Source organism: Homo sapiens, chromosome 6 (assembly GCF_000001405.40).
Source record: "Homo sapiens chromosome 6, GRCh38.p14 Primary Assembly".
In the NCBI taxonomy this organism is placed as follows: domain Eukaryota; kingdom Metazoa; phylum Chordata; class Mammalia; order Primates; family Hominidae; genus Homo; species Homo sapiens.
In genome coordinates this window covers 5,860,523-5,874,407 of record NC_000006.12, presented here as the reverse complement: position 1 = coordinate 5,874,407, position 13,885 = coordinate 5,860,523, and the positions used below count along the sequence as shown (strand labels likewise).

Sequence of the window (13,885 nt, the reverse complement as noted above, 5' to 3'; positions counted from 1 at the left end):
GGAGGCAGAGGTTGCAGCTAGCTGAGATCACGCCACTGCACTCCAGCCAGGGTGACAGAGCAAGACTCTGTCTCAAAAACAAAAAACAAACAAACAACAACAACAAAAAAAAAACAAGAAAAGAAAAGAATGAAAGACAGCCCCATAAAAACAGAGACACATAGAGGGAGAATGCCATGTGACAACAGAGGCAGAGACTGAGGTTATGCAGCTGCAAGCCAAGAAATGCCAAACCACCAGAAGCTAGCAGAGGCATGCAATCCCCTACAGATTTCAGAGGGAGCATGGCCATGCCAACACCTTGATTTGGACTTCCAGCCTCCAGAACTGTGAGAAATTAAATTTCTGTTGTTTTAAGCCACCCAATTTGAAGTACTTTCATTATGGCAACCCTAAGAAACTAATATATTTATCTAAACTATTTCTCTTTGATCAAGTACCTAAGATGTATTGATCAGGATAAAAGTGTGTCTCCATTTTTCACCCATTTTCTCTCTTTTTGAGGGACTTTGACAGTTTCTGAATTAAGAGGCTATTTTTAGGAATAGTAATGTATGTATCAATTTTGGATGTATTTAATTAAAATTTGTAAATGAGCAGCACTGCTTTCAAAAAAGATCTGTCCTACATCTGTCTGCGATTCAAAGAGGTACTGAACTGACACTCACTACCCCTGCTGGCCTTAATAGATACACAATCCTCTCTAGGAATAGCAGAGCATTATTCTAAAATTAAAATAGTCACTAAAGCTGGGTGACAGAATGCCTTTATGTGGGGCCTCCACAGGTCTGGCTATGCCAGATTTAATTAAGGAGTTTTATTTGCATCAATAAATTGTTATCCAAGGTAAAATAAAAGTTATTTGATTTGTTCACACTCAATTTCATTTAGGTGAACAATTAGTAGTTTAAGTCTATTGCAAAATAATTCAGCCAAGAAATCAATTTTAGCACCTACAAAAAAGCCCAACCAGGCTATAATTACAGTCTTCCAAATGCTAATTACATACAGTTTTGGATGGGAAATATAGATATATCTATATCTCATCTTACTGTTTACCACCAAAAAATTATACTTGCATAAAACATGGGGAAATTATCTACATTATTTATGATTCTCAAAAGGTTAGAATGCTCCTTTTAAAGCCCCTTTGGATTGGCTTATATTAGTAATTAATTGTCTTCTCTGGCCGTATTTGTACCTCTTATTCTTCTTGTGCAGTCAAAAGCTAAAATGGGTTGGGCAGAAAGCTCCACAGGCATCAGGGACCAGAGATAAAAGTAGGAACTGGGACCTCAGGAAGAGTCTGGGCATCTCTGGGGCTAGTTGTCTGGAGTGTCAGTTTTCTTGGCTGGACAGCCACTTCTCAATGATCTCATCCACAAGAAGAAAGGTCATGAGTTGGGGAATGACCCCCAGTGGAGTAATTGGTGAAAACAACATTTGTTTCTAAATAGAAAATTAGATATATGCTCCAGGCAATCCATAAGGTGATGTGCTTGATGAACAACGAGAAGTAAGACAACATTCAACAGGTTGTTCTGAGAATTTTAATGTCTTCTAGACCATTCTGTATCTAAAAATTATGGATAAATACTTTGGAGCAATTTAAGAATGCAAAAGCAGTGCACGTTTGAGTTGGATTTTGTTATTTTGACAATATTATCTCACTCTGACAAAACCACACTCACTATGACAATAATGTTTTGCATTTGAAGGCTGGTCATAGTTTGTGAAGGTCCAACACGTTCTTCCTGGGAGGTAGATTTGCAAGTGATTATTACTGTCATGCTATTTCATAGTTGAAGAAGACACTGGGTGAATTGAAAAAGAAACTGAAGATTGGAGAAATTGGGTGATTCAACCAAGGCCCCACAGCTACTCCAGCACTACGTTATGTCATTATGCATATTTGACATTTGCATTTCAAAAGCAATGGTGAATATCACAACAAATATAAGTGCATTATTTTCTTTAATGTAAAGGGTTGTTTTGTATATTATTCACAGTACCATACAATGCCTTCTTTCCTGGACTGTGGAGAGAAGGTTCTTAATGTCTTAGCACCATAAAGAACTGCTCTTCTGAGCACTGGAGCAGTTACCCATTCACGTAGCTCATTATCTTTCTGGAAAAATTGATGTATTTCCTTCTGCATCACCTTTACTTGTAATGACACCTACATGTCTCTCCAAGGTGCCCTGGTTTTGAAAGGAGAAAGTAGGGATTCATTCAGAGATGAATATGGAAAAGCTAGGTGGAATGGGTAATAGTGAGGACAAGAAGGTGTCAGCTTCATGATCACAAATCATGGTGATTTCATGTGACTTTGATGCTAAGTTTGAAGAGAGATGTTGATGAAAGCAGTGTGCCCAGAAGAGGAATGGTGAGTAGTTGGGAAAGAATTCTTATGAGAAGCTGTGGAAGGAACTGGGAAGTGTTTACTCTGGATTGGAGAAGTCTCAGGAGACATGATACCTGCATTCTCTTATGTGGAAAGCCAACATATAGAGAGGCAGGGGAAGGTTTTTGGTGGATGCATGGGGCATAGTGAGATCACAAGGAAAAGACCACCAGGAGGGAAAGTTCACCTCAATTTAAGAAAAATTGTTCTAACAATTACAGTGACAAACAATGGTCAGAGTGTTTTGTGGAGTTTTCCATCCTTGACTGGAAGTACACAAGCAATGACTAGACATCTGTCAAAAAGAGTACCACATGAGAGTTTCAGCCAAGTGGCCTTGAGGTATCTTCCAGCCCTAAATGCTGATGATTCTAAGAATAAGTCCTGCTCGACTCCCTGGTTTCACTATTCCGTGACATTTGATAGAGACCTCTCTACAGAGCACCTACCATGATCTCAGGGCCATGCTATAGTATCATTCCTTAAGCTTGTTCTTTCGATTCTGGCTGCTTGCCTCTGAAGAGTAATATCAAACCCTGAAGCAACCACGAAGTGCAGATGGGAAATCCCTATTAATTGTTGGTGTACTTCTTATTTTACTCAGTAGACTTTTGTATCTTCTGCATACCTCAGTTGGCAGACACTCAATAAAGTCTTGATGAGTGAATGAATGAATGCCTGTGTGTATGAGTGTGAATGTTAGCTTAACAGCTAATTATGAAAACAATATTCCAGGCTTCAAGGAAAAAATAAAAGGGCAAGAATACAGAAAATCTTTTGAACCCTTTAAAGCAGGTGTAAGTTAGAACTTAATTAGCAACAATTGTTTATGTTTTTAAAAAATATTCTTAGCAAACTAGAAATAGAAAATTTTTCTTAGACTTTTTTAAAGATTTAAATACAGCATATGTCATATTAAATAGTCAAATATTAAAAGCAACTCCTTTAAAGTCAAATAAAGCAAAAATGTTTGCCAGTGCCATTTATAGTGAACATTCTACTGAAGGTTCCCACATTGTGCAATAAGACAAGAAAAAGAAATACAAAGTATAAGAACTACAAATTTAAAAACAAAATTGGCATTATTTCCAGATAATATGATTGTCTTTCCCAGAAAAAACCCAAATAAATCTGAGATTAGTAAGGTTTCTAGACATAAATTTGATATACAAAAGTCAGCTGCATATCTATACACCAGTAACTGATGGTTAAAAAATAAAAAATTACTACTTATAAAAGCAACCAAAACATAAAATACCTAGCCATAAATGTAACAAAATATTAAAGGACTTTTAGGCAAATATTTAAATTCTCTCAGTAACTCCTGGTGGGAGAATAAGTTGTTTTACTCACTTTAGAAAAATAGCATTATCTAATAAGTTTAAACATATGCATTTTCTATGATTTAGCAATTCTATTCTCAGGAATATATCACAGAAAAATACTTTTTCATGTACACTAAAATATACATACAGAAATCCTTATATCAGCATTGTAATGCAAAACTTGAAAACAATACCCATCAATATCAAATGTCCATCAAAAATAAAATGGATAAATATATTACAGCACAAATAATACTAATGATGATGATGATAAAGGGGGTGAGAGAAAGCTAGGAGGTGATGGATGGTAGTGATAGTTTCATGGGTGTATACTTACCCTCAAAATCCAGTTACATACATTCAATATGTACAACTTTTTAACATTTCAACAATATCTCAATAAAGTGGTTTGAAAATATAGAAAGAGCAAATTTATTCAATGAAATATTACACAGTTATGAAAATGAATGAACCACAGCTACATGCTCTAGAATGTATTAATCTCTTAGTGGAATTATTTGCAAAATAATTGGAATATTCAGAATATGTCATAAGGCAATACTTCAGCTTATGTGTGGGCTACATATGAACTTCTCAGGATTCTTGGTTGTAAACAACAGGAACCAACACTGGTTAACCTAAGGTAAAAAAAAAAAAAGAGTTTCTCAGATGGCTGTGAAGTAATCATGCATTTGGGGTAAGCTACGCCTAGAGAGCCAGGGTCGAAAACCAGACTGATGGAAACTTGTGAGGGCCACATCCCAGGAATCGGTCAGTTGCCACCATAGCTGTGAACCCTGAGCTGCCCTTGTGTCCTCACACCCTTACTCTAGATTCAGGTCTCTGATGGGCTTAAGTCACACATCTGTGTGTTTCAGTCACACATCTGTGTTTCGATCACACATCTATGTTTAAGTCACATGTCTATGTTTTTACTGCCAGGTTTCAGTATGAGCAAATATCTAATATTTTAATTTCTGGATTATATAAACTTAGGAAGGGAATTCAAGTGATAGGCACTGCAGATGGATGGGTGAATGAATGAATGAAAAATGGAGAGGAAAAGAGTCATGAAAGAGCAAGGAGGAAGGAAGACTAAAAATTATCTGCAGGGCTCATTAAGAGTTCTGGCTTCTGAACTTCCAAAACTACTGAATCTTAATTTCTGAAGTTGACAGGAAGAGGAGGTTCAACAGGAAGTGTCTGTGTTTTTAAGCTGCACCCCAGGTGATGTTTTAAAATTTGAGAATTACTGGCATAAATAATGCAGATCCACAAATCAGAAAGTGTTACTCTTTTTGTGCCTTTCAGTGACAGTGACTGACTTTGCTCTTTGAAGGTCTGGGGCATGCCCTAAAAGAATTCTAAATGTCTTTTCTTTCTAATCATCTCTTTACCAATTTATGGTCTCTAAGTGCATTTCTTAAAGTTGCATAGCAGCAATTTCAATTTAAGAAAGAACAATGTTAGGATTTGAATAGAGTCCAGAGAAAATATTACCTGAGTATCCAAATAAATACTAATACTTGTCACTTAAATAGCAATGCCTATATGCCAGGCACTGTTCTAAGTCTTTTACATCTCTTATCTGATTTAATAATTCCAACAAATTGTATGAAGAGTTTCCAGATGATGCAACTGAGGCCGCAAGATGTTAAATAATTCACCCCAGCTAATGACTGAGGTGGCTGCGTTGAATGTAGATAATCTGTTCCACGGTCTTGACCATGATTTAATAACCATCTCAATAAATATGGTTTGATTGGACAAAAGTTTTAAACTTCTCTTATTGGTCATAAATAATCAAAATAAAAATAGAAGAAAATTTAAAAATAAAGATTTATAACCATTAAAATGATCTCTTCTTAATTTGGCCTTGGTCAATCTGTTTTGACTGTCTCTGCTCTCAGTGGCTAAACAGCATTTTAACAAGTTTTCTACACACTAAGTGCCTATGAACTCACCAAGTTCATCTGGGCTGATTGTTTCTCTCTTTTTTAAAAAACAGTTTTTTGGCAAAGGTGTAGTGGCGGCTCATGCCTGTAATCCCAGCACTTTGAGAGGCCGAGGCAGGAGGATCACTTGAGGTCAGGAGTTCAAGACCAGCCTGGCCAACATGGTGATACTCCATCTCTGCTAAGAACTCAAAAAAATTAACCCGGGCCTGGTGGCACATGCCTGTAATCCTAGCTACTCGGGAGGCTGAGGTGGGAAGATTGCTTGAACCTGAGAAGCGGAGGTTGCAGTGAGCTGAGATCACGACACTGCACTCTAGCCTGGGTGACAGAGCGAGATTCCATCTCAAAATAAATACATAAATAATAGAAGTTTTATTGAGATATAATTGTTATATAATAAACTACACATTTGACGTATACAATTTGATGAGTTTGGACACATGTACATTTCCTAGAAATCATCACCATATATTCAAGCCAATAGACATATCCATCACCTCCAAAAGCTTCCTTGTGTCCCTTGGTATTTTTATGTGTGGTAAGAGCATTTAACATGAGATCTACCCACTTAAGAAATTTTTAAGTGCAAATAATACATTATTATTGACTATAAGCATTATGCAACAACATATCTCTATAACTAATTCATCTTACATAACTAAAACTTTATTTCCAATTCCCCATTTCCTTCTCCCCCCAGCTCCTAGGAACTGTATTCTCTGCTTCTGCTAGTTTGACTGTTTTAGGTACCTCATGTCAGTGGAATCATGCCGTATTTGTCCTTTTGTGACTGGCTTTTTCACTAACAACATGTCCTCAAAAGCCATTCATGGTGTCACATATTTTAGAATTTCCTTTTTTTAAAAAACTGGATAATATTCCATTGTACATATATACCACATTCTCTTTATCCATTCATCTATCAACGAACACTTAGGTTGTTTCCATGTCTTGGCTATTGTGACTGGTATTTCAATGAACATGGGATGCAGATATCTTTTTGAGATCCTGATCTCAATTTTGGGAGGTATATACCCAGAAGTGGGATTGCTAAATCATAAGGTAATTCTATGTATTTTTTTTGACGATACCATTTTCCACAGCAGCTACACCATTTTACATGCCCACTGACAGTGCAGAAGGGTTCCAGTTCCTCCACATCCTCGCAAGTGATTGTTCTTTGTATTCCCACACAGCCAGCATCTACTCATCTTCAGTGAGCTCCAGCTCATTGTTAGTAAGCAGCTTCACTTTTTGGAGCTGCATCTTAGCTTACATCTTTATAGTGCAGCTCTCTCCTGGAGGAGCCTAAGGCAAACCTTTCTTAGCTGCTCTTCCTGATTTGTATAATTTTCCATAATCCAACTGTTAAGGATTCATCCTAGGTTAAATGTAGTTGATTCTCTTAAAACAGGAATTTAAATCAAATTGAGTATTTTTTCACATATCCTACGTATAAGATAATTATAAACAGAAATGTGCTATGTCCTCAAGAGTCATTCGTGTTGTCACATATTGTAGAATTTCCTTCTTTAGATGTAAGTTTCCTTAGATGTATGCTAAGATGCAGGGTCAGAACAGACACATGTAAGAAAGCAGGCATCCTGATGGAATGATATGGTTGAAAGAGCTCATTCAAGAGCTCGCTGAGCACTTCCTACATGTTCAACATAGAGGTCATCTAAGAAAAACAGGACGTGGCTCCTGCCTGCAGTGGCACCTATCACAGTTAGGCAAACAACACCAGCTATTGCAGTGGAACAAAAGCAGATCGTATATGCTAAAGAGTGAAACTGAATACTCCCATAAACAGATGGGAAAAAATGTGGGCTGGATGACAGAAGTGCTGGGTGATTCACACATAACTGGTTGAACAAACATACCCAACAGGGCCTATTAATGAACAAATGTCAACAGATAGTGAGGTCTCTATTGGCTCTACCCTCACTGCAGACTTGTCCGACATTTTGATAAATGATTTGGATAAGAAGAGTAACAGTATAATTGATCGAGTCTGTGATATCATGAAACTGAAAGTGATAGTAAACACACTGAATAATAGAAGCAGAATCCTAGAAGCCTACAGTATTGGTCTGTTCTGCCAGCATGGTGAGTGGGGTGGTGTGTCCCAACAAAGTGAGGAGACACACTTCTGACCAGCACTGCACTGACCACACCTAAGGCGGCCCTTCTAGGGCAACTCACTCAAACGGAGAATTTTCAATTAGATCAGATTCTGGAAAGAGTGACCAGGAGAACATGCCTTGAGACCAGTGTAACTGAGGGGAGAATAGGCAATCTAGCATAGGGAAGATAGCCTATGGTCAGTTGTCATTTCCATATGTTTAAAAAAATAGACATGAAATAGGACTTCAGCTTATTTGATGTCATTTCACAAGGCTGAACCTCACAGATTTTGACTTTATAGCATAAGCCTTTCAAAGAGAAAGAAAAAGAGTATTGATTTAGTACCTATCCAGTGCCAGAAACTGTACTTGGCATTTTACATCCTCCTTCTAGCAATCAAATAAGATATAAATTATTATCCCATTTTACATACTATTCCATTTATCTATTGCTGAATAACAAACTTCTACAAAACTTAGTACCTTAAGACAACAATTGATTATTCTTATACCTCATCGTTTTGTGGGCTAGGAATGTGGACAGGATGGAGGAAGAATAACTTCTGTCTCTCCCATGGTGTCTGGAGCCTCCTCTGGAATGTCTTGGCTATTTAAGTAACCTTCTGTATTTCTCTGCCCAGCCTCTTCACCTGTGGGCTTCCTCACAACATGGCAGACTTAGGGTAGAAGTTCTTACTTAGTAACTCAGGGCTCCAGAAGAATGAGGCAGATGCTGTCACTCCTCTTAGGTCTAAGCCTGGAACCAGAGCAGCATCATTTCCTCTGTGCTCCAGTGGCTGGGGGTAGTCACAGGGCCAGCCCACATTCAAGATGAGGGAATAAAAACAACATCAAAATGGTTCGTGACCATTTTAAATTCATCACACAGATGAGGAAGTACAGGAAGGTGGGAAGTGGCAGAGCCAGGACTCGAGCTACATCTGACCAACTGTCATTTCCTTCCCCACTCTCATTACCCTCAGTAACACATCCGTGTGTGTGGGCTCAAGGGTCTCCTCTAAGATAACTTTAAACTGTGTGTTTTCATCCCCAGCCTTGCTGCTAAGCTCCAGGACTATCTCCAGTGGAAACTGTACATGTCCATTTGAATTTCCTCGAGCCAACTCAGACTTAGCAGGATGAGACAAGAGTTCAGAATTCATCACAGGTCCTATCTCCATCCCGATCTAGGCAAACCAGCAGCTCGCCAGTCACACTGGCTCAGAACCTCATGTTGACTTCTGTCCCTGCCCTCTCACTTTTTTCCTGTGTCCAGTCAGTCACCATTGCCAAGGCCTGTAAATTCGTAGGCACAACAGTCTTCAAGGCTGCTCAAAGATCAGTTCTGCCTACATCCCCTCCAGCCACCTACCATGCTCACCATCCCCAGCCACACTGCCTGCTGCTCCTCCAAAGCCTCTCCACGGACACCATCTCCCTAGAAAGACCATTCTATCAAACATTACTGATATTGTTATGTCTGTTTATTTCTTATTTATTGTCTGTTTCTCCTACTAGAGCAATGCTATTCAATAGAAATATAATTTGAGCCACATCTGTAATTTTACATTTTATGGTAGCCACATTTAAAAGGGCATAAAGAAACAGGTAAAATTAATTTTAAGAATTTATTTCACTTAATCGTGTATATTGGTCCATTTTCACGCTGCTATAAAGTTACTACCTGGACTGGGTAACTTATAAAGAAAAAAGATTTAATTGACTCACAGTTCTGCATGGCTGGGGAAGCCTCAGGAAACTTACAATCATGGCAGAAGGTGAAGGGGAAGCAAGGCACATCTTACATGGTGGCAGGCAATAGAGTGCAGGGGAAAATGCCACTTTTAAACCATCAGATCTCATGAGAACTCCCTCATTATCACGAGAATAGCATGGGGGAAACTGCCCCCATGATCCAATCACCTTCCATCGGTTCCCTCCCTCAACATGTGGGGATTACAATTCTAGATGAGATTTAGGTGGGGACAGAGAGCCAAACCATATCACCATGATATCCCGAATACTATTATTTCAACATGTAATCAATATGAAAAATCATTAATGAGATACTTCACATTTTTTGGTCTAAATTTTGAAATTGATGTGTATTTTGCCCTTTGTTTACCTCTCATTCAGACTGGCCACATTTCAAGGGCTTGGTAGCTACACGTGCTAGTGGCCGCCATCTCGGACAGCACAGCTCTAAAACAAAAGCTCTTTGAGGATGTGGACTTTGTTCTCTTTGTTCACCTCTCTCTTCAAGGTGCCCTGAACTTAAAAAATATTTTCTTACTGCATGCGTGCAGGAATGCAATGAATGAAATGCATCCCTTGCTTTTGATTCTCCCCCACCCCTTCCTCCTGACCTCACAGTGGCAGAAGCCTTCTACCTGTCAAGCATCTACAGGTGTGGCAAGGAACTGCTCCTTTCCAGCTTGAGATGCTCTTCCCACACCACCAGTTTCTGTCTTGAGCCTCTTTCCACCGGTGGGAGGACTCAGAGTAAGGCTTGTCTGGCGGCCCCAACCAATGGACACCTGCCTCTTCCCATTTCTTCCCACAGCATGAGCATGTGTGACTTCAGTCCTCTCTCCTCACCCCTGTCCTAACCTCCCACTTATTATTTCTACCCCTCACCCTTCATCCTGAGGTCCAGAGCAGAGTCCCTGAGAGCTTGAAGGTCTTTGGTGTACTGAGGTCGAAGAACGCTGACCTCTGACCTCTCACTTTTTGAATGAGAAAACCTAGGGTGAGAGGCCTGCCAGGTTTGAATCTGTGCCCAGCTTGATTCTGAGGCTCTTTGAGGGACCCCACCCTGCGTGTCTGTCCACTGTTTCTGGGACAACCTGGTTCCAGCTTGCAGCCTGGCTCTTAGCCTTGGCTGACAGTTCCAGTCTTTGCATCCCCAGATGTCACATCTTGGGGTGGCACAGAGCACTCTGCTGGCTTGGAGCTTCTCCCCAACTAACCTTTTTGACAGCTTCATTGAGATATAATTTACATACCATACAATTCACCCCACTAAAGTATATAATTCAATGGATTTTATTATATTTACAGTTATGTGCAACCATCTTCACAGTCAATTTTCATATCACCTCAAAAAGAAACCTTTTAGACCCATTCACCCATTGAGGGACATTTGAGTTTCTCCTGCCTTATGGCTATTATGAATAATGTCGCTGTGAATATTCACGTAAACCCCTCCACTGATTCTTCCTACCTCTTGCTGCCAGGTGACTTTTCAGCAAGCATTGGAAAGCAGGTCAGTCCACTGTTCCTAACATCTGCCATATTGGTCCTGGCACTGGAGGCTCTTCATCACAGGGGCCTTCTCTACTCCCCACACCTGGCTGCAGAGAGGCAGTGAAAGGTCGTGGTCAAGGTCAGGGTCTGAAAGCCAGGGCCTCACCTCCCAGCTGGTAATGAGCTCAGCCAGACAGAAGGACAGCCCAGGTTCAGGGTTTGGGAAGAATGGCAGTTACTCACTTTGGTTTACTATCAACATGGCAAGGACATGGGGGATGTGCTCCCCAGGCCTGCCCTCTGCTCCTCACAGAGACAGACCCCAGGCTTAGAGAGGCAGCCAACCAGGCTGAGTGAGCCATTGCCCGGTGAGAGGAGCAGGGCCCACCACCCCTCTCATACCATTTTGAGGCTGGGAAAGGGGCCGCAGCAGCTCTCAGGAGTTCACCGCCTTAGCACTGCAGTCACACCCTCTGTATTGTCTCTTACTACCTCAGCACGTACCACCACTGTGATTTTAGACAACTTATTTAACCTCTCTGTGCCTCAGTCTGCTCCCCTGCAAATGGGGATAATAATAGTACCAACCTCAGAGCATTCTTGAAAATGCATGCCTGAGTGCTTAAACCCCGCCGGAACAAGGAGAGCTCCATGTGTGTTAGCGATTCTTTCTTCCCAAATCAAACACTTTGTTGTAGTGAGATTTATCTCCTCCCCATGGTCCTCTCTTCACACCAGAGGTCTGGATTCTCTGCTTATCTAAGTTCTGGCTATTTGTATTAGTTTCCTATTGTCACTGCAACAAATTGTCACGAACGCCGTGTCTTAAAACAACATATGTTTTTTCTCTTAGGATTCTACAGGTCAGAAGTCCAAATGAGTCTCGCTGAGCTAAACTCCGAGTGCCAGCAGGGCCATGTTCCTTTCTAGGGGCTCTGGGGAAGAATCTGGTTTTTGGCTTTTTCCAGCTTCTCCCCTCCCACTCTCGCATTCTCCCTTCAACACGCTGGTTCACTTCTGTACAAAGTTGAGTGCAGTTCACCACAGACCCCTCTCCCTGTTAAATCAGCAATTGTTTTTACTGATTTAAATCTGTCCTGATCATTTTAATCAGTGTCCAGCTTTGTTTATCTTTGGCAATCCCCTTCGTCCATCCTCCAAGCCAGCAATGGCCTGCAGAATCCTTCTCCCATCATGTCAGCCTGCCTCTCTGAGTCTGTTGCCTTGTCTTCTCTGACCCTCCTGCCTGCCCCTTCTTCCACTTGTGAGGACCCTTGTGATGTCATTGGGCCCCCAGATAATCCAGGATTATCTTCCTATCTCAAAGTCAGCTGATTAGCAACCTTAAACCCACCTGCAACCTAATTCCTCCTTGCCAAATAACGTAAGATCTTCAGAGGTCTCGGAATCAGATGTGGACGTATTTGGGGGGCATTATATAATGCATGTCACACTATTCTCTTTTTCCCCAACATCACTGAGGTATAGTTGACAATTAAAAATTTTATATATTTAAGGCGTACAACTCAATGATTCAATATATGTATACATTGTGAACTGTCCACCACAATCAAGCAAATTAATGCGTTTATCACCTCACATCGTTATCATTTTTTGATGTGGTGAGAACACTTAAGAGCTGCCTTCTCAGCAAATTTCAAGTCTACAATACTGTTACTGTAGTCACATTGCTGTATGTAGTTGTCCAGACCTTATTTACCTTACATAACAGACCTCGCTCATACCCTTTGACCAACATCTTCCCATATCCCTCCCCTTCAGCCTCCAGTAACCACTATTCTACTCTCTGTTTCCATGATTTGACATTTTTGGATTTCAGGTTTATGTTGTCACAAATAACAGAATGTCCTTCTTTTTAAAGGCTGAATAATATTTCATTGCATGTGTATATACAACATTTTATCCATTCATCTGTCAATGGACATTTAGGTTATTTCTGTATCTTGGCTGTATCTTGGTGAATAATGCTGCAAAGAACAGATATATCTTTAAGATACTGATTTCATTTTCTTTGGATATAGACCTCACAATGGGATTGCTGATCACATGGTGGTTCTATTTTTCCTTTTTTGAGAAACTTCCCTATTGTTTTCCATGATGCCTGTACCAATTTACATTCCCATCGATCGTGGACAAGGGTTTTATTTGCTCCACATCCTCACCAACATTTGTTATCTCTTGTCATTCTGATAATAGCCATCCTAACAGGCGTGAAGTGACATCTCATAGTGGTTTTGATTATCACTTCCCTGATGGTTAGTGATGTTGAACATCTTTTCATATACCCGTTAGTCATTTGTATGTCTTCTTGGGAACAATGTCTACTCAACTCCTCTCTCTGCTTTTTAATCAAGTTTCGTTTTTTTCTGTTGAGTTGTATGAGTTGCTCATATATTGTGGATATTAACCCCTTATCAGATGTATGGCTTGCAAATATTTTCTCCCATTCTGTAGGTTGCTTTTTGTTGTTGTTGATTGTTTCTTTTGCTGTGCAGAAACTTTTAGTTTGATGTAGTCTCACTTGTTCCTTTGTGCTTTTGGTTTCATATCCAAACCATCATTGCCAAGACCAATGTCATGAAGCTTTTCACCTATGTTTTCTTCTGGGAGTTTTAGAGTTTCAGGGCTATGTTTCAGTCTCTTTGAGTTGATCTTTGTGTATGGTATAAAATAAAGATACAGTTTCGTTTTCTTGCATGGGGGTATCCAGTTTTCTCAACACCACTTATTGAAGAGACTGTCTTTTCCCCGTTGTGTATTCTTGGCACTTTTGTTAAAGACTTGTTGACCACACATGTGTGACTT

At 40.0% G+C, this 13,885-nt stretch overlaps 1 long non-coding RNA gene across 1 annotated transcript; it reads right to left on the bottom strand.

Moving 5' to 3' along the window:
- Nucleotides 1–1,536: 1,536 nt before the first annotated feature.
- LOC124901251 (uncharacterized) lies at nt 1,537–11,441 on the bottom strand. The gene is made up of 2 exons (XR_007059425.1): nt 11,037–11,441; nt 1,537–4,367 (listed from the first exon to the last, which is right to left on the bottom strand). It is a non-coding gene; the product is annotated as an uncharacterized LOC124901251 (long non-coding RNA).
- Nucleotides 11,442–13,885: the final 2,444 nt, after the last annotated feature.